Raw genomic sequence first — 21,814 nt, forward strand, 5'->3', positions numbered from 1 at the left:
TCAGATACAGTTCCAGGTCCTGGGAATTATAGAAGTCAAGAAAACAGAGTCAGGGCCCTAAAGAAGCATGCATTTTGGCAAGAGACAGTGGCAATAATAATAATAAAAAAAGATATAATTTAATGTCGGGTAACAATAAATGCTGTAAAGAAAGCATAGCATGGAGATAGAGAAGTTGCTGCAAGAGCTGTTTTAGAGGGGGCGGCCAGGGACAACTTCTGAAGAAGGGACACTTGAACCATCGTCACAGTCATCTAGATAGATCACAGTCATCTAGATAGATCTTGTGCAACGGGAAGGCCTCTTCGTATTCCCTCTAAGCTCATAGAGGATCGTGAAAAGTCTGTGGAATCTTACTGGGGATAGGACAGTAATTTACACAGTGCTATGGCGATTTGTTTTGTATGTATTATCTTCAGCTGCTGGGAACTTGCTTTCCATAGTCCATCTCTAGCCATCTCCAGTCCCAACAATCCTACAGCCTACATTTGCTGTTTGGTATATTACCCAGATCACGTTTTCAGTCACTTTATTTTTTTATGTATTTATTTATTTTTTGAGATGGGGTTTTTCTCTTGTTGCCCAGGTTGGAGTGCAATGGCGCGGTCTTGGTTCACTGCAACCTCTGCCTTTGAGGTTCAAGCGACTCTCCTGCCTCAGCCTCCCAAGTAGCTGGGATTACAGGTGCCCGCCACCATGCCCGGTTAATTTTTGTATTTTTAGTAGAGATGGGGTTTCACCATATTGGGCAGGCTGGTCTCGAACTCATGACCTCAGGTGATCTCCCTGCCCCTGCCTCTCAAAATGCTGGGATTACAGGTGTGAGCCACCATGCCCAGCCGTTTCAGTCACTTTAAAAGTTCTAAGAGGTATGGAGAGAGAGGGGCATTTTAGAACATGGAGCCGCACAGCTATAGAATGTGTCCTGGCGCTGTTCCCTGTCCGTCATGTGGCTCTGTAGGAAGAAGACATTCTGGGAAATTCTATGCTCCAGGTCCTAGCTTGGAGCCTCCCTCCCTCTGTGAGGTTTGCAACATTTCCTGAACCTTAGAGAGTAAAGGGAAATGTGCTCCTATATCCAGAACTTCCAAATGTAAGTGTTTGCCAAGTGCTTTGCAATCTGCCTTTCCATAATTTCTCTCATTATCTCTGTGATGGGATTTATCATGCTGTACTGCACTTTACTGAGTAAATGTAGGGACAGATGGAGGTGGCAGACTGGAGGAGAAGAGCAAGAGATGACATTGAGCTGGGAGCTCTTCACAGGAATGGTCCGTCTGTGGGCTTCCTGGGGGGTGAGGAGGGGGGACAAATATGTGATTGGCACATGGTATTGCCATTCAGTAACACCTGTGGCATGAATAAGCTACCTAGGGTGAAGGTGAGCTGCTGTTTCGAAGTTTTGAATACAATTATATTTTAAATTAATGAAGAGATCCTGGCACTGAGGAGGTTGAAATCCTTTTGCATGGTGGATTTTCTGGATCTGAATTTTATAAGGAATTTTTTTTTAAATAGCATTGAAAGATTTTTAGTAGATGAAGACAACATGCGTAGTAAGGTGGCCATTATATGGTGAGTCAGTTCACTATGCCCTAGGATTTGAATTGCTGTTAAGTTTTGGATGTTGTAACTGACTGCTGGTTGGTCTGTTCCTATTTTTGCTGCTGTTGTTCATCCATCCAACCATGCATCTGTGCATCCATCTGTCCATTCATTCATCCATTCATCCATTTATCCATCCATCCACCCACCCACCCATCCATCCATCCACCCACCCACCCACCCACCCATCCATCCATCCATCCATCCATCCATCCATCCATCCATCCACCTCTCCACCCATCAATCTGTCCACTCATTTCTATTACTTACTAGTAGTGTGATTATTTTCTTCATCTCACTTGGACTCAGTTTTCTTCATCTACAGAATGGTGAGTTTTGTCTAGGTTATTGAAAGGGTCCTGTTAATTCTAGAATCCTAAGATTCTTACCATTTGATTACAGTTTGTGCAAGACAATTGGAAAGAATACAAACATGAATTAAACATGGGTTCTGCCCTCCAAAAGCACATTGTCTGGTAGGCGTGCTGACATAGAAACATGGCACAAATGTGAGTAGAGAATGACCAAGTACCAAACACAGCTGCGGTTAATGTGTGCGATGGGAATTTCAAGAAATTCAAGAAATTTGGCTGCAGATGTTAAGGAAGGCTTCAGAAGGAAGGTGGCATTTATGTTTGAGTAGAGCAAACTGACATGTATTAACATCATCAGTTGATTAGCATCCTCATTTCATTTAATGTTCACAGTAGTGTATGGTCTTCACTTTACTATCCCCATTTAGCAGATGAAGAAACTGAGGCAGAAAAGGAGATTAAGTAACTGGCCCAAAGCCACCCAGCTGTATTGTGGCAGAGTTGTGATTAAGAGGATGTCTGTCAACCCCCTTTCATCCTTTTGTCTTAAAAAATCGAGTCAGTAGGCCGGGTGCGGTGGCTCACGCCTGTAATCCCAGCACTTTGGGAGGCCGAGGCAGGCGAATCACCTGAGGTCCGGAGTTCGAGACCAGCCTGACCAACATGGTGAAACCCCGTCTCTACTAAAAATACAAAATTAGCCGGGTGTGCTGGCGCATGCCTGTAATCCCAGCTACTCCAGAGGCTGAGGCAGGAGAATGGCTTGAACCTGGGAGGCGGACGTGCTGTGAGCCGAGATCGTGCCATTGCACTCCAGCCTGGGCAACAAGAGTGAAACTCCGTCTCAAAAAAAAAAAAAAAAAAAATCGAGTCAGTAGAGAGATGAGGATTGCAGGATTCCTCCCTTTCCCTCCCCTCCACTCCCCTCCGCTCTTTTTTTGAGACAGGGTCTTGCTCTGTCCCCCAGGCTGGAGTGCAGTGCCTCGATCTCAGGTCACTGTAACCTCCGCCTCCTGGACTCAAGCTATCCTCTCACCTCAGCCTCGTGAGTACCTGGGATCACAGGCATGCACCACCATGCCCAGCTAATTTTTGTATTTTTTTGTAGAGATGGAGTTTTGCCATGTTGTCCAGGCTGGTCTCAAACTCCTGATCTCAAGTGATCCTCCTGCCTCAGCCTCCCAAACTGTTGGGATTACAGGCGTAAGCCACTGCACTTGGCCCAGGATATTTCAGGTGAAGAAGACCATCAGTGCCCTGGCACAACGAGGTGGAAGTGCCCTGTGTACCTGAGAAACAGCACAGACTTCGGTGGCGCTGGAGCACAGTGTCCCTTAATGGCAGCAGTGGAAACCGAGCCTGGGATGACAGCTTGGGATTCGAGGAGGCTTTTTATTGTCTGACTACAGGGTCTGGTCTTTATTTGGCCCAGATGGAGACTTTGTGCAGGGTGGAGACATGATCAGAGGAGTACATTTCAGGATGTTTATGACTCTAAGACCTTCTTATGATTCCAACATCCTTTCATGCTCCTAAGCTCTTCCATGTGATGCTGAGGAAACTCCCCTCCCCTCCCCAGATGTCTCCTGCAGCCTCAGCCCTTGAGCATTTTCATCTCTGGGTTTCTGTGCTAAGGAACTCAGGGCCCTGGCTTCCCATCCTACCATTCTGAACATCAGCACCTTTAAAAAAAACCCCTCTCAATTCTTGGGATTCTGAGAAGAAAACTCCTTCATCTTCCCCTTTCTGCTCTTTCCTAGATTTTAACCTAACTTCAGCTATTTCAGAACGTTTTCTGTTCAATAAATGAATAATTAGATCTTCTTGGGCTTTGCCAGTGAAAAATATACCATAATATTTAGATTAAAACAGTGTAATGACTACACTAGCAAAATACACCCCGGTTACATGATGAATTCCTCCTTTTCATTTTTATTTGTGGTATCCTGGGGTGGCCTACTGGAGAAAAAAATACTATTTGATCCTCCCTGGGTGGTCAGACAGGACTTGTAAAGACTCCTGTTTGTTTTGTGTTGAGGTTTCAAAGGCACGCAGGCTTTTCTACATAAAGATGTTCTAAGAAAATACGGATTTTTTTTTGAAGTTGCTGTGTATAAAGGGAAATTCAAAGCAACCGTCTTCCCTTACAACTACCAGCTAATGTGATTAGAGCGTCTCTTTTCACCAGGCATCTTTGTTGTTACCATCTCTGGTCATTACCACCAGTCTTGAGGGGAGATGTATGCTTACAAAAACCACCTCCACCTGGCTTTATTTTTGGCGCGATCACACAAACATGTGTTTTAATTTTAAAGATTATATTTATTGTCACATTTAGATTTTTTTTAAAAAAACACTAAGAAATCTGAGTGTTGTGTGTGTGTGTGTGTGGTTCAGGATGCACTGGAGGTGTGTGCTGCCACAACAAATTTCAGGCCACGTGTTCTGCAGATTCCAATTAGCAAGGCCCTCCTGCTGTGGTGTGGGAGAAAAGTTTGGAGTGGGGTTAGGGCTGGCTGAGTGTAGGAGGCTTTTTAATGCAATCTTTGCAGAACTCCCTCATTAGCACCTCGAGGTCAGTGGGAACTGGTATACAGAGCACAGTTGGCATTTTCTGCTATGCATGGTGTGTGTCAGCCATTTTATTTATCCATGCTTATTTTCTCCGTTTCATAAAATTAATTGTACTTAATGGGGGAGGGGTTGATAATGCTGAATTATTTTAAGCCTGGAGGGAGCTCAGCAGCTGTGTCCTAGATCAGACCACCGATCTATCTAATAGGTTGTCTTGCTACCGGATCCACTGGACGAATGTGTTTCGCCAATTAGACGAATCCCTATATGGAGAGAAAAATGACCTTGAGCCCCAGAAAGCCAGACAGTTGCTTCGTGCCATGTCTTCACCTACTGAAGCTGCTTCACCGCCTTGGCCTGATAGGAGTGTAGTATATATCTAACCTCTAGACAATTAAATTTCTCCTTTAAAAAAATAGCCACTCTTATGTGAAATAGTCAAATCTTTCATGACTTGCCAAGATACTTGCTTTTGGAATCAGGTGCTTTCGGGTGTAGCCTCTAAAAATTTTAAAGGAGAGCAAATCTTCCAAGCTTCCTTCTTGTATCAAGGCATAACCTGCTGAGGTCCAGGCTGCAGTGATCCATGATCATGCCACTGCCCTCCAGCCTGGGTGACAGGCTGAGACCCTGTCGCAAAAAAAAAAAAAAAAAAAAAAAAAAGACATAACCCCCTGCTATAAAATATATATATGTGTGTATGTGTGTGTGTTTAAGAGGAATATCAGAGAAAGATAAATTTTTAAGTAAAAGGAAATATTATAAGCTAATTTTGTTGGGTATTCTTCTGGGCAATTATTTTATCATCGAATACATTTCCACAAAATGCCAGAATTCTTTTTTTTGAGATGGAGTCTCACCCTGTCGCCCAGGCTGGAGTGCAATGGCGCGATCTCAGCTCACTGCAAACTCCGCCTCCCAGGTTCAAGTGATTCTCCTGCATCAGCCTCCCAAGTAGCTGGGATTACAGGTGCGTGCCTCCACGCCCAGCTAATTTTTGTATTTTTAGTAGAGACGGGGTTTCACCGTGTTGGCCAGGCTGGCTCTTAAACTCTTGACCTCGTGATCCATCCGCCTTGGCCTCCCAAAGTGCTGGGATTACAGGCGTGAGCCACGGCGCCCGGCCCAAATGCCAGATTTCTTTAAAAGATAAGCCTGGGCACAGAAAACAAACTTGATGTATGATAGAATCTTGCACTTTTTAAGTCCTGGAGTTAAAATTTACTGTGGCTTTGGTGTGACTCTACCAGCAACAGGATGGCACTCAGTAGAGGGCACATGGTATAGTGGGAAAACCTCTTGGGGGTCAACCAGGTCCAGATTTTGATCTGTGCCTCTGCTGCTACTAGCTCTGTGACCTTAGGCAAGTTACTGCACACACTTGGCCCCAGTCTCTTTGTAGCCTTCTGCTGCTATTGCTGCTAGCTTCACAAAATCGTTTCAAAGGTTAAATGAAGTAAACTATATAAAATAAATATCTAGGGCTGGGCACGGTGGCTCATGCCTGTAATCCCAACACTTTGGGAGGCAGAGGTGGGTGGATCACCTGAGGTCGGGAGTTCAAGACCAGCCTGACCAACATGGAGAAACCCCGTCTCTACTAAAAATACAAAATTAGCCGGGCGTGGTGGCACATGCCTGTAATCCCAGCTACTCAGGAGGGTGAGGCATGAGAGTCGCCTGAACCCGGGAGGTGGAGGTTGCAGTGAGCTGAGATAGCGCCATTGCACTCCAGCCTGGGCAACAAGAGTGAAACTCCCATCTCAAAAATAAAATAATATATAATATAATAAAATAAATAACATCTAGCTTATATATTAATGTTAGTTCATTTTCTTTTCTTCTCATTACATCCAAGGACTAGTAATTTTCCAAGGGTAGTAATGTTCCATTAATTTTGGGAGTCACTCTGGAGAATCCTGTAAATTTTCCAGATACTGAAATCTAAGCCTACAAAGGCTTAATGACTCTCTTGCAATGCCTTAGGAGTAGCAGAGTTGGTGCCCAAATCGTGCCTCACTGAATGCTTCCAGCTTTACTACAGGTGTGAGGACGACGTAGAATTCTGCACTGAGTCCCTGGCGTGGCTCTAAAACAGTCAAGTGCAGTGACGGTCTTAAGTGTAGAAAACACTCGACTTTCCAGATCTTCTAGGAACCTTCAAAATACACAGAAATGTGTAGTGAAACCTTACCCTACTGTGTCGCCGTCAGTTTACTTTTACAACTTTTGACTCAGTTTCCCTTTCTGTCCCCTAGTACCCTCAGGTGACTACAGATGTGTTAACACCCAGCATGTTCCGGTAGGAGACTTTCTGGATGGGGAAGATTTCCAGGTAAAGGACCACCCTGATTCCCTTCGTGGCTATAGCCTGCTGCCTGCCCTTCCATGGGCTGCCGCAGACTTCCTGATGGCCACTGCTGCCTTCCTCCTTCTCCTTTTTTGCATTGATTGATTGGTTCCTTATCTATGCTATTTTTCTATGATTTTTTGGTATTATTTTTAAGTATTCATACGTGTACACTGTTAATGATATAAAACATGCATGGAGTGGTAAGCCCTAACTTCAGGATAAGGCTTACCCTCTGAGGAGGGAGGCTGGGGCACTTGGCCAATGTCAATTCTGTCTCCAATGTTTTAAACTTTTTTCCCCAATATGTATCTCTTAAAAAGAAGAATTTCTTTCCTTTTCATTTCTTTCTTTCTTTCTTTTTTTTTAAGACAGAGTCTCGCTCTGTTGCCCAGGTTGGAGTGCAGTCCAGCTCACTGCACTGCGATCTCAGCTCACTGCAACCTCCACCTCCCAGGTTTAAGTGATTCTCCTGCCTCAATCTCCCAAGTAGCTGGGATTACAGGTGCGCACCACCATGCCCTGCTAATTTTTGTATTTTTTAGTAGAGTCAGGATTTCGCCATGTTGGCCAGGCTGGTCTTGAACTCCTGACGTCAGTTGACCCGCCAGCCTTAGCCTCCCAAAATGCTTGGGATTACAGGTGTGAGCCACCACACCGGGCCAGAACTCCTTATTTTTATTTAAAACATAACTGTAGTGTCACTTTTGCTCTTAAAACAGTAGTTAAGGCTAGATGTGGTAGCTCACTGAAATCCCAGCACTTTGGGAGGCCAAGGTGGAAAGATCGCTTGAGCCCAGGAGTTTGAGAACCAGCCTGGGCAACACAGCGAGAACCCCATCTCTACCAAAAAAAAAAAAAAAAAAAATATATATATATATATATATATATATATAAAATTTACATTTTTTTTTTTAGCCAGGCATGGTGGCACATGCCTGTAGTTCCAGCCACTTGGTGGGCTGAGGCAGGATCACTTGAGCTCAGGAATTTGAGGCCATAGTGAGTTGTGATTATGCCACTGCACTCTGGCCTAGACGACAGAGCAAGACCCTGTCTCAAAAAACAAAACAAAGAACAACAACAAAAACAACAACAAAATTACCAAGAGCTCCCCGCCAGCCAAAACAAAAAAACATCCTCAAACAGTAGTTAAGTCCTTCATATCAAATATCCAACTAGTGTTCAGTATTCCAATTATAATTGGAATATATTTATATAGAGAGATAGTAACAAAACCAAATTTGTTTGGCATTTCAAATGTTTGAAGATGCCAGAAGTTTAATCTAGAGTAGTGGTTCTCAAAATTTGGTCCTAAGACCAGCAGCATCAGCATCACTTGCGAACTTGCCAGAGACGGAAATCATTAGACCCTACAGCTGACTGAATCAGTGATTCTGGGAGTGTAGTGTTTTAACAAGCCTTCCAGGTGATTCCAATGCGTGGTAGAGTTAAGAGAACTACTGGTCTAAAGGAAAGCAAAATTTTATGCTCTTTACACACCCTATTTTGCATTTGTCTTTGTGTTTAACATCACAGCATGTGCTGAGATGATGTGCTTACACACTTGGGTCACCAAGATGGAGTCCAGCCTTCTATTGCCTTCTAGGGCCTGTGCCAAGCCACCTTCCATTTCTAGCTGTGGAGGGCAGCACACACAGACTGCTGCTGCATTAGGAAGTGTGTAGGAGAGCAGGGAATGGAAGTGGTGATCATGATTTTCTGGAGCAGGACAGAGAGAGTGAAAATAGAGATCTGGGTGTATTTGATGGGGAAATCACCTTCTTTTTTAAAAAGCATACTTACAAAGTTGTGGTCCTCAACTGCTGGCAGCACAGTCGAATCACTCCAGAGGGCTTTGAAAGACACTGGTGCCCTGGCCTGACCCCAGGAAATTCTGGTTTCAATTGGGTTGTGGGTGGGGTTAGGGGTGGTCCCAGCAACAGCAAGATTTAAAGGTGCTTCAGGTGATTCTAATTGCAGTCATGGTCCAAAACCACTGGGAAAGACTTGTGTTTGGTTTGGGATTCAGTTGGGAAACTAAGATGAAAATATCCTGCAAGAATGCACTCGGGGGTCTTACCCTTCAAACGAGTAAGTACTTTGCAAACTCTGGTTCTTAAGCCATTAGCGACCTGGTTTGGGGGAGTTTTTTTCTGCCATCTCTAGCTTTTTTTGTTGTTTTGAGCTACTGCTGACTCTTTCTGCAGTATTTCCGGCTAGTTTTTGTCTAGGTAAGGAGATTTGAATATGGTTTGTCTACTCACTTGTAGGTGTCTTGGGCAGAATATGCATTTTTTAAAGTATACAAATGACACCCTCTTTCACCTCCTTCATTCTCTTTCCTGTAAATGGCTATAGCTCCAGGAAATGAACTCGAGAGACTGATACTACATTTTGCAATGTGAGGCTTTTTAATTTTTCTAAGACTATCAACGAGACCAGAGCCTTCCTTGCAGTCTCCGAAATTATGGAAAGGAAAGGTTGGGCTGTATTTGTTGGTTGAGTGTTGAAATAGTCCATGGAAAAAGGAAAGGGAAACAAGTTCTACTACTGATTTTCTTGGCAGAGTTTATCACCTGTCCCCCCCAAGTTTCTGGCAAGTGTGATTAGAAATTGACTTGCAGGATTTGCTCACACTGGCTTCCCAAGACAGTTTTTGCTTGCATGCTGCTGACTAGCAGTAGTTAATTTGCTATCTTTCACATGTGTTATCCAAAAATCACAGAACTCATTAGAAATAAACAGCATGGGCTGGGCGCGGTGGCTCATGCCTGTGATCCCAGCACTTTGGGAGGCCGAGGCGGGTGGATCCCGAGGTCAGGAGTTCGAGACCAGCCTGGCCAAGATGGTAAATCCCTGTCTCTACTAAAAATACAAAAATTAGCTGGGCGTGGTGGTGGGCACCTGTAATCCCAGCTACTTGGGAGGCTGAGGCAGAGAATTGCTTGAACCCAAGAGGTAGAGGTCGCAGTGAGCCGAGATCACGCCACTGCACTTCAGCCTCTGCAACAGGGCGAGACTCTGTCTCAAAAAAATAAATAAAATAAACAGCATGAATTTGGTTGGTCATATTTGCAGGATTAGCCAGATGTAAATCTGAGTTGCACTTGGGAGGTTTGGTGGGCTTCATTTAAAAACAAATAGAACCCCAGCCTTGAGTAGAAGCAGATTTTTTTAAAAAATGAAATATCTTACTGGAAAACAAACCTTATTTTTCCAATAGAAAATATGGGGAAGAAGTAAGCTTTTTTTGGTGCCAATATTTATTTTATTTCATGCCCTTCTTGCTGATGGCAGATGTGGCAGAAATAAATACCCAATTTCATTTTCCAAAATGGGAAAAATTTAATCAATTCAAGAATTTATTTATTCTTAATTTATAGCAGAGGTTTGAAACCTGACTGGTTAAAGTATTTAATATGCCTCTTAGGAAAATAAACATACATTTATGTATTTCCCAAACCATTTTGTGGAATAATCACCACACAATGGGTTATTGAAGAGGTGTGTTGGCCTTGAGGCTGTCTAATTCTTAGGCCTTTTGAAAAGTGTTTAAGAGATATTGAAAAAGTTTTTTTTCATGTGATTACAATATACGATTTGTGTGATTGGAAAATTTCTGTTTTCTGTTGATATGCAAACTCACTGCCAGCAATACCAAATATTCATATGCCACCTGCTTCCTTTTTTTTTTTTTTGAGATGGAGTCTCGCTCTGTCACCCAGGCTGGCACCATCTCGGCTCACTGCAACCTCCGCCTCCTGGGTTCAAGCGATTCTTCTGCCTCAGCCTCCCGAGTAGCTGGGACTACAGGTGCGAGCCACCATGCTTGGCTAATTTTTGTATTTTTAGTAGAGACCTGGTGTCACCATATTGGCCAGGCTGGTCTCGAACTCCTAGACCTTGTGATCCACCCAGCCTTGGCCTCCCAAAGTGCTGGGATTACAGGCGTGAGCCACCATGCCCGGCCATATGTCACCTGTTTCTAATCCCAACAAAACCTGTACTCAGAATGAATTAAACAAACAAACAAACAAAAAAAACCCTTACCTTTGAAGAACCAAAAAAGGAATTCAAATTTTATTGAAACTTTTTGTGTTTATCCTTTTAGATCACACTAAATCAGATGAGTACACAAATGCCAAGGAATTGACTCTTACAAGTAGAGATGATGTTTCATGCAGACACATGAGTTAAAGGTGTGCTAGAAACTTCCCATGAGCTGATTTTGATCATTCTTTGCTCTAGTACCCCCAAAGCTTAGCTTAATACTTAATTATATATCATACTACCTTCTCTCTCTCTCTCTCTCTGTGTGTATGTATTATTTTCCACCAAAATGGCTATTTGTAACCTGCCATAGTAAAAGGTCTGCTTATTCAAGACCAGGACAAGACTTTCCATTGTCTTGTCTTTCTGCCCATGACACCATTCATTTTTCTCTTCTTCAGCATTGAGATGAGATTTATAATGCATCGTCCTACCATTTTCTAGGCATAAAGATAATTTGCCTGGTTAGCTTTTATTTAGTGATTCAAAAGAAATAGATGATCAGATCTGGCAGCGACTGACTTTTCACGATTCATTGCTGAAGGCTTTATTCTATGAAGACCTTTGTTGCTGAAGGTATGAAGGATGTGGTAGTAATGGAAAGTATTTTACTGATCTTTTATTTCCTTTTAAATTTTTTGAGACAGAGTCTCGCTCTGTCATCCACGTTGGAGTGTGGTAGCGTGATCTCAGCTCACTGCAACCCCTGCCTCCTGGGTTTAAGCACTTCTCCTGCCTCAGCCTCCCGAGTAGCTGGGACTACAGGCGTCTGCCACCCATGTCTGGCTAATTTTGTATTTTTAGTAGAGACAGGGTTTCACCATATTGGCCAGGCTGGTCTCGAACTCCTGACCTTGTGATCTGCCCACCTCGACCTCCCAGAATGCTGGGATTACAGGCATGAGCCACTGCGCCCGGCACTGATCTTTATTTCTAAAGAGCTTTTCTCCCCTTGCAGGATCTTTGGTGTCAAGATACTATAAAATTCCAGTAAATATGGCTGCAAGGAAGGGTAAAGAGAAAGAAAGAGAGACAAAATAAAGTACCAGAAGCAAATAGTCCTTTCCATATTCATGTCACGTCCGTAAGATTCAAGAAACGGATATTGAAGTGGAAGAACCAGACTTTCTCTTCATTCCTATGATCTAATTAAATGTATTTTCACTTAAAAAAGGATAACAATATTAGATCTTAATGGGATTAACCTAACTGAAATTTATTTGACTTTGCCTTGACCATAAAGATTATGAAGGATCCAAGTTTCATTTTGTGATGGTAGTTTCAGGTCTGTAATTTTTGCTACATTCCATTCCTGTTGCTGTTCTACTTAAAATATCAGTTATCGGCCGGGTGTGGTGGCTCACACCTGTAATCCCAGCACTTTGGGAGGCAGGGGCGGGGGTGGATCACCTGAGGTCAGGAGTTCAAGACCAGCCTGGCCAAGATGGTGAAACCCCATCTCTACTAAAAATATAAAAATTAGCTGGGCGTGGTGGCAGGTACCTGTAATCCCAGCTACTCGGGAGGCCGAGGCAGGAGAATTGCTTGAACCCGGGAGGCGGAGGTTTCAGGGAGCGGAGATTGTGCCACTGCACTCCAGCCTGGGGGACATGAGTGAGACTTTGTCTCAAAAAAAAAAAAAATCAGTTATCAGACAAAACTTGTGTGTTGTATGGCGGAGACTTAGAATAGACTAGAGTTTGAGTATTTTTCTTTTTTAAGTTTTGGAGATGTTAACTCTTACTGTTTTTATACTGAAGTGAAGTCTGTTAAGTTAAAGAGGAACCTTTCTTTTATTTTCTGTGTTTTTTGGTTTCTTTTTTCTTTTTTTTGGTCAGTTTCTTAGGGTTTCTCTTGCTTGGAATTATCTAGATGAACTGTTTCTTGAGTCCAGCTTCAGACTAGAGTTTGAGTATTTTTCCCTTTAACTTTTTGAGATGATTAACTCTTACTCTGTTTTTATACTGAAAGGAATCTCTTTAGCTAAAATAAAGAGGAATCTTTCTTTTATTTTCTGTGTTTCTTGGTTTCGTGTGTGTGTGTATGTGTGTGTGTGTTGCGCCAGTTTCTTAGGGTTTCTCTTGCTTGGAATTGATGAAATGCTTCTGAGTCCAACTTCATTGATAACTACCTACTCCTCCCTTTCCTTTGTATGTGTTACAGGATTTCAGTAATACATATTTTTTATTGTGGTGAAGTATACATAATATAAAATTATCATTTAAGCCATTTTTAAATGTACACTTCATTGGCATTAAATACACTCATATTGTTGTGTGCAATTGTTGCCACTATTATCTTTTGAAAGTTTTCATCTTCCCTCTCACTCATAAGTGGGAGTTGAACAATGAGAACACATGAGAGGGGAACATCACACTCCGGGGCCTGTCCGGTGGGGTGGGGGTAGGGGAGGGATAGCATTAGGAGAAACACCTAATGTAGATGACAGGTTGATGGGTGCAGCAAACCACCATGGCACGTGTATACCTGTGTAACAAACCTGCACGTTCTGCACACGTACCCCAGAACTTAAAGTATAATAAAAAAAAAAATAAAGTTTTTATCTTCCCAACCTGAAACTCTGTACCCATTAAACACTAACTCTTCATTCTTCCCTCCCCTCAGCCCCTGGCTACCACCATTCCACTTTCTGTGTCTATGAATTTGACTGCTCTAGGTACCTCATGTAAGTGGAATCATGCGGTATTTTTCTTCTTGTGACTGATTTTTTCCACTTAGCGTAATGTCTTCAAAATTCATCCATGTTTTGGCATATGTCAGAATTTCCTTCCTTTGTAAGGCTGAATAATATTCCATTGTATGTATATATCACATTTTGTTTATTCATTCATCTGTTGATGGACACGGGTTACTTCCACCTGTTGGCTATTGTGAATACCTCTATGAACATGGGTATGTAAATATCTGGTCAAGTCCCCATGAAAAGTGTCTTTGTGATTAATTATTATTATTTTTTGAGACAGAGTTTTGCTCTTGTTGCCCAGGCTGGAGTGCAATGGCACAATCTCGGCTCACTGCAACCTCTGCCTCCTGGGTTCAAGTGATTCTCCTGCCTCAGCCTCCCAAGTAGCTGGGATTACAGGCTTGTGCCACCACACCTGGCTAATTTTGTATTTTTTTAATAGATATGAGGTTTCACCATGTTGGTCAGACTGGTCTGGAACTCCTAACCTCAAGTGATCCACCCATCTCAGCCTCCCAAAGTGCTGGGATCATAGGTGTGAATCACTGCGCCCAGCTGTCTTTGTGATTAAGTAAAACACCCTGATGCTGATTTAGATACCGATTTAGCAACTTTAAATATTATGGTATTAATAATAACCATTAATTAATAATAAAGCTTTTTATGTAAAGTGATTGGAATGAGTTTGTCAGGTATGAGTTATAAAGGCCTCCAGAAGCATATGGGGAAGTTAAACACATGGCAATGAGAACTCTTTTAAGAATGCACCTGGCTGGATACCATGACCTGCTTAAGATCTGTGTTTTAGAATCGTCATTGAAAAGAAATGTTGCAGCCAGGCACAATGGCTCATCCCTGTAATCCCAGCACTTTGGGAGGCCGAGGTGGGCAGATCACTTAAGGCCAGGAATTCAAGACCAGCCTGGCCAAGATGGTAAAACCCCCTCTCTACTAAAAATACAAAAATTAGCTGGACGTGGTGGTGGGCACCTGTGATCCCAGCTACTCAGGAGGCTGAGGCAGGAGAATCACTTAAACCCGGGAAGCGGAGTTTGCAGTGAGCCGAGATCACGCCACTGCACCTCAGCCTGGGTAAGAAAGTGAGACTCTGTCTCAAAAAAAAAAAAAGAAAAGAAAAGTTGCTGCATGACAGACATCTGGAAAAGTTAAACTATAAAATGACTTGCAAAATTAACATCCTCTGGTTAACCAAAATCCTCAAAGCAGAGGGCAATCTGGTGTTTGGGATGTGAGTCCTCTCCTCTAGAGGGTCAGGCTTATCGCTTGGAAAGCAGATTAGCACTGCTAGCACACACCACCTAAAGATACGCTTCCCATCCTCACATTCTTGGTGTTTTCAGTGTTTCGTCTTATCTGTTGTATTCTTTCAAATTCCTTAAGCTTAACCACAGACAAGCTCCTTCTTGGAGTTAACACTATTTATCAAGTATATACCGTATGACCAAGCTATATATTACTGCTAGCTGATGTTTATTCATACTTGGCCCATGTTAGGCACTGTTCAGAAGCCCTTTACATGTGTTGTAAGTTATTTAATTATTCCTTATCTCTGTTTGTTTGATATCAGCAAAACTTCATTTTACAAATGATGAAAACGAGACACAGAGAAGTTATCTTGTTCAAGGACATAGGAATTGGCAAAGCCAGAACTTGACCCCAGGGGTCTGACTTCAGACCATGTATCTTTTTCTTTTCTTGTTTTCTTTTTCTTAGAGACAGGGTCTCGCTGTGTTGCCCAGGCTGGAGTGCAGAGCAATCTTGGCTCACTGTAGCCTCAAACTTCTGGGCTCAAGATATCCTCTTGCCTCAGCCTCCCGAGTAGGTGTGTGCCACCACACCTAGCTAATTTTTTTTTTAAATAATTTTTTTGTAGACATGGGGTCTTGCTATGTTGTCCAGGCTGGCCTTGAACTCCTGACCTCGAGCAGTCCTCCTGCCTTGGCCTCCCAAAGTGTTGGAATTATAGGCACGAGCCACTGCACCTGGCCCCCATTTACCTTTGACTGCCATGGCATGCTGACCTGCATTTTACTGTTGATCAAACTTATGAAAACACTCTCTAGAGGATGAATTCTCTTTCTTTCTTTCTTTCTTTCCTTCCTTCCTTCCTTCCTTCCTTCCTTCCTTCCTTCCTTCCTTCCTTCTTTTTCTTTCTTTCTTTCTTTTTTTTTTTGAGACAGAGACTCACTCTGTCACCCAGGCTGGAGAGCAGTGGCATGATCTTGGCCCACTGCAAACTTTGCCTCCTGGGTTCAAGTGATTCTTCTGCCTCAGCCTTCTGAGTAGCTGAGATTACAGCTGTGTGTCATCACACCCGGCTAATTTTTTATGTATTTTTTGTAGAGACGGGGCTTCACCATTTTGGCCAGGCTGGTCTCGAACTCCTGACCTCAAATGATCTGCCCGCTTAGGCCTCCCAAAGTGCTGGGATTACAGGCGTGAGCCACCGTGCCTGGCCTCTAGAGGACAAATCTTTTTAAGGTAAATAACAGAGCTTTTAAAGTCAGGAGTTCTCTGTGTCTCTCTAGGAACCCATGCTGTATTAAATGGCCACAAAGTAGTTTGGAAGTTTAGCATCAAAGGACTAAGGTTTCTTCTGAACACAGTGCCCTTTATTCCACTTTTTAAGGTAAACACACTTCAAAGAAAAGGAAATTTTAAAAAGCCATGCTTTTTTAAGGAATGTAATATATTTTTTAGAACGGTATTATCACTCTTTATGAATTCATATTTGGCAAAGAATTTTCTGGAAATATTAGGAATCAGCCTTACTCAGAAATTTGGTGTTAAAGGTTTGTAAAGAATATCTACTTATGCCCATTCATAATTAACAGGGATTCTTCTTTTTCTTTTAAGGTTAAAAAAATTTTTCTTTTTAATTATTTCAGCTTTATTCAGGTTGAATAAGGGCATTCCAGCCAAGCAAAGTAAGGTGAGGGGTGAGAGGGGTTTCAGGCGGAGAAAAAAAACACGTAAAAGGACACCAAGTTGTAGCATGGTCTGGCCAGCGAACTTTAAATAGGAGGGAAGTCCATTATCATGGAAGGAGCAGGGGCTTCGGGAAAGGTTTAAAAAATTAATTATTCTTGAGTTTTGGTTTTACCCTCTGTGAAAAGAGGTAATTGTTGCTCTTTTGAGGATTAGAAATAATTTTATGTTTGTTTTTTGCTTTTGTTTTTTTTTTTTGAGGCAAGGTCTCACTCTTGTCACCCAGGCTGGAGTGCAGTGGTGCGATCACAGCTCACTGCAGCCTCAAACTCCCAGGCTGACACAATCCTCCTGCCTCAGCTTCCCAAGTAATGAGGACTACAGGCATATGCCACCATGCTCAGCTAATTTTTAAAATTTTTTTGTAGAGATGGTGTCTTGGCTATGTTGCCCGGGTTGGTCTAGAACTCCTGGCCTTATGCAATCCTCCCACTTCGGCCTCCCATATTATTGGGATTATATCAGTACAGGTTTGAGCCACTGTGCCTGGCCAGATAATGTATTTAAGTTGTTCAGCAAAGGACCTGACACGCAGGTTTCCACATTGATATTATCATTATGTTGCTATCAGTTTTTTCTTTTTGACTTTTGATTTGTTTTCCTGAATAATATTACATTACATGGTTCAAAACCCAAAAAGTGTAATGTTCTCTCTTTCGTCTTTGTGCCTCATCTGTCAAGTCCCTTCTTCCCTGTCCCTGCAGGTAACCACTGTCCTGTTTCTGATGTAGCCTGCATTGTCCACTGATGCTCTGTGGGAATATGAGTATCTCTTCTGTATTTCCTGCTTTTACACAAAAGGTAGCATATTGTACGCATGCTTCAGTGTCTTCCTTTTGGTTTTCACTTAACTATACATCTTAGAAATCTTCCCATATCAGTTTATAAGGGGCTTCCTCTTATAAGCGCCATATATATATACACACATATATATATACACACATATATAAATATATATATACATACACATATATAATATATATACACATATATATATACACACATATATAAATATATATATATACATATATATGTGTGTGTGTGTATATATATATATATATATTTTTTTTTTTTTTTTTTTTTTTGGACAGAGTCTCACTCTGTTGCTCAGGCTGGAGTGCAGTGGCGCGATCTTGGCTCACTGCAACATCCGCCTCCCAGGTTCAAGCGATTCTCCCGCCTCAGCCTTCCAAGTAACTGGGATTACAGGTGTCCGCCACTGTGCCCAGCTAATTTATTTTTATATTTTAAGATTCAGGTGGCCAGGCACAGTGGCTCATGCCTGTAATCCCAGCACTTTGGGAGGCCGAGATGGGGAGATAACCTGAGGTCAGGAGTTCAAGACCATCCTGGCCGAGGTGGTGAAACCTCGTCTCTACCAAAATAAAATAAAATAATTAGCCAGGCATGGTGGCTGACACCTGTAATCCCAGCTACTTGGGAGGCTGAGGCAGGAGAATTTCTTGAACCTGGGAGGCCGAGGTTGCAGTGAACCAAGATCATGCCATTGCACTTCAGCCTGGGAGACAAGAACAAAACTCTTGTCTCAAAAAAAAAAAAAGATTCACAGGTAGTTGCAGTATAGTCCAGACAGTTCCCATGTGCCTTCACTCAGCATCCACCAATGTAACACCTTACATAACCTTAGTACATAGTCAAAACTAGGAAATTGGCTGGGTGTGGTGGCTCACGCCTGTAATCCTAGCACTTTGGGAGGCCGAGGCGGGCGGATTGCCTGAGTTCAGGAGTTCGAGAACAGCCTGGGCAACACGGTGAAACCCCGTCTCTAATAAAATACAAAAAATTAGCTGGGCGTGGTGGCATGTGCCTGTAGTCTCAGCTACTCAGGAGGCTGAGGTAGGAGAATTGCTTGAACCCAGGAGGCAGAGGTTGCAGTGAGCCGAGATCATGCCACTGCACTCCACCTTGGGTGACAGAGCGAGACTCCATCTCAAAACAAAAAAATAAACAAAAACAAAACAAAAAAAAAACCACTAGGAAATTGACATTGGCATAATGCCATTAACTCAGGTAAGAGACCTTATTTAGATTTAACCGATTTTTACATGCATTCTTTTTTTGGAAGGGGGTGTAGATTTTTCTTTTTTTCTTTTTTTTTTTTCCCCTTTTCTGTTTGGCTTATGTAATGTAGCATGTTTTTAAGGTTCATGCAAATTACAGCATGTTTCAGAGCTTCATTCCTTTTTATGTCTGAATTAATATTCATTATACATATATACTATATTTTGCTTATCCATTCATCAGTTGATAGACACTTGGGTTGGTTCCACCTTTAACTAGTGTGAATAATGCTGCTATGAACATTGGTGGACAAGTTTCTGTTTGAGTCTCTGTTTTCAAGTATTTTGAGTATATACCACTGAGGAGTGAAATTGCTGGGTCATCTAGTAAGTCTATATTTAAGTTTTTGAGGAACCACCAAACTATTTTCCACAGCAGCCCACCATTTTATATTCCCACCAGCAATGCCCAAGGGTTCCAACTTATCCACATTCTAACTAACACTGGTTTTCTTTCTTTTTTTTTTTTTTTTTTTTACAGTTTCAACTATTAATTCAACACCTTAGTGAACACCTGCTCAGTGCGGGCATTATTATGTGTTAACTAGAGGTTTTTTTTAAATTTTTTTTATTTTTATTTTTTTTATTGATCATTCTTGGGTGTTTTTGGGGGATTTGGCCGGGTCACAGGACAATAGTGGAGGGAAGGTCAGCAGATAAACAAGTGAACAAAGGTCTCTGGTTTTCCTAGGCAGAGGACCCTGCGGCCTTCCGCAGTGTTTGTGTCCCTGGGTACTTGAGATTAGGGAGTGGTGATGACTCTTAAGGAGCATGCTGCCTTAAAGCATCTGTTTAACAAAGCACATCTTGCACCGCCCTTAATCCATTCAACCCTGAGTGGATACAGCACATGTTTCAGAGAGCACAGGGTTGGGGGTAAGGTCACTGATCAACAGGATCCCAAGGCAGAAGAATTTTTCTTAGTACAGAACAAAATGAAAAGTCTCCCATGTCTACCTCTTTCTACACAGACACGGCAACCATCCGATTTCTCAATCTTTTCCCCACCTTTCCCCCCTTTCTATTCCACAAAACTGCCACTGTCATCATGGCCCGTTCTCAATGAGCTGTTGGGTACACCTCCCAGACAGGGTGGTGGCTGGGCAGAGGGGCTCCTCACTTCCCAGTAGGCGCGGCCGGGCAGAGGCGCCCCTCACCTCCCGGACGGGGCGGCAGGCCGGACGGGGGGCTGACCCCCCCCACCTCCCTCCCGGACGGGGCGGCTGGCCGGGCAGAGGGGCTCCTCACTTCCCAGTAGGCGCGGCCGGGCAGAGGCGCCCCTCACCTCCCAGACGGGGCGGCTGGCCGGGTGGGGGGCTGACCCCCCCACCTCCCTCCCGGACGCGGCGGCTGGCCGGGCGGGGGGCTGACTCCCCCACCTCCCTCCCGGACGGGGCGGCTGGCCGGGCAGAGTGGCTCCTCACTTCCCATAGGGGCGGCCGGGCAGAGGCGCCCCTCACCTCCTGGACGGGCGGCTGGCCGGGCGGGGGGCTGACCCCCCCATCTCCCTCTCTCCCCGACGGGGCGGCTAGCCGGGCGGGGGGCTGACCCCCCCACCTCCCTCCCGGACGGGGTGGCTGGCTGGGCAGAGTGGCTCCTCACTTCCCAGTAGGGGCGGCCGGGCAGAGGCACCCCTCACCTCCTGGACGGGGCGGCTGGCCGGGCGGGGGGCTGACCCCCCCACCTCCCTCTCTCCCGGACGGGGCGGCTAGCCGGGCGGGGGGCTGACCCCCCCACCTCCCGCCCGGAGGGAGCGGCTGGCCGGGCAGAGAGGCTCCTCACTTCCCAGTAGGGGCGGCCGGGCAGAGGCGCCCCTCACCTGCCGGATGGGGCGGCTGGCCGGGCGGGGGGCTGACCCCCCCACCTCCCTCCTGGACTGAGCGGCTGGCCGGGCAGAGGGGCTCCTCACTTCCCAGTAGGGGCGGCCGGGCAGAGGCGCCCCTCACCTGCCGGACGGGGCGGCTGGCCGGGCGGGGGGCTGACCCCCCCACCTCCCTCCCGGACGAGGTGGCTGCCGGTAGGAGACGCTCCTCACTTCCCAGACGGGGTGGCTGCTGGGCGGAGGGGCTCCTCACTTCTCAGACAGGGCGGTTGCCAGGCAGAGGGTCTCCTCACTTCTCAGACGGGGCGGCCGGACAGAGATGCTCCTCACATCCCAGACGGGGCGGCAGGGCAGAGGTGCTCCCCACATCTCAGATGATGGGCGGCCGGGCAGAGATGCTCCTCACTTCCCAGATGTGATGGCGGCCGGGAAGAGGCGCTCCTCACTTCCTAGATGGGATGGCGGCCGGGCAGAGACGCTCCTCACTTTCCAGACTGGGCAGCCAGGCAGAGGGGCTCCTCACATCCCAGACGATGGGCGGCCAGGCGGAGACGCTCCTCACTTCCCAGACGGGGTGGCGGCCGGGCAGAGGCTGCAATCTCGGCACTTTGGGAGGCCAAGGCAGGCTGCTGGGAGGTGGAGGTTGTAGCGAGCCGAGATCACGCCACTGCACTCCAGCCTGGGCACCATTGAGCACTGAGTGAACGAGACTCCGTCTGCAATCCCGGCACCTCGGGAGGCCGAGGCTGGCGGGTCACTCGCGGTTAGGAGCTGGAGACCAGCCCAGCCAACACAGCGAATCCCCGTCTCCACCAAAAAAATACGAAAACCCGTCAGGCGTGGCGGTGCGCGCCTGCAATCGCAGGCACTCGGCAAGCTGAGGCAGGAGAATCAGGCAGGGAGGTTGCAGTGAGCCGAGATGGCAGCAGTACTGTCCAGCTTCGGCTCGGCATCAGAGGGAGACCGTGGAAAGAGAGGGAGAGGGAGACCGTGGGGAGAGGGAGAGGGAGAGGGAGGGGGGTGTAGATTTTTCTACAAAATTTTGTTATCCTTGTAGATTCAAGTAGCCATCACTGCAATTGGGATACAGAACTGTTCCAGCATGACCAAGAAATTCCCTTCTGCTACTTTTTGTTTGCATTTTTGAGACAGGATCTTGCTCTGTCGCCCAGCCTAGAGTGCAATGGTGCGATCATGGCTCGCTGCAGCCTGCAGCCTGGAACTGCTGGACTCAAGCAATCCTCCCATGTCAGCCTCCCAAATAGCTAGGGCTACTGCCACCACATTCATCTAATTTTCTAT

The 21,814-nt window shown here is 44.9% G+C and overlaps 1 long non-coding RNA gene across 1 annotated transcript in view, besides 1 other annotated feature; it reads left to right on the forward strand.

Annotated features, from left to right (window-relative positions):
* CASC15 (cancer susceptibility 15) overlaps positions 1 to 21,814 on the forward strand; it is a 529,408-nt gene that overhangs the window by 110,468 nt on the left and 397,126 nt on the right. Inside the window, exon 3 of the long non-coding RNA NR_015410.2 lies at positions 6,752 to 6,828. This is a non-coding gene — a long non-coding RNA (cancer susceptibility 15). The remainder of the gene's footprint in view (positions 1 to 6,751; positions 6,829 to 21,814) is intronic.
* Positions 20,982 to 21,579: an enhancer, noted in NCBI's record as "H3K27ac-H3K4me1 hESC enhancer chr6:21798093-21798690 (GRCh37/hg19 assembly coordinates)". NCBI's record gives its function as "activates a minimal SCP1, AML or CMV promoter by ChIP-STARR-seq in naive H9 embryonic stem cells {active_cell/tissue: H9 hESC(naive)}" and the evidence as "EXISTENCE:reporter gene assay evidence [ECO:0000049][PMID:30033119]".

Source organism: Homo sapiens, chromosome 6 (genome assembly GCF_000001405.40).
Source record: "Homo sapiens chromosome 6, GRCh38.p14 Primary Assembly".
Lineage (NCBI taxonomy): Eukaryota > Metazoa > Chordata > Mammalia > Primates > Hominidae > Homo > Homo sapiens.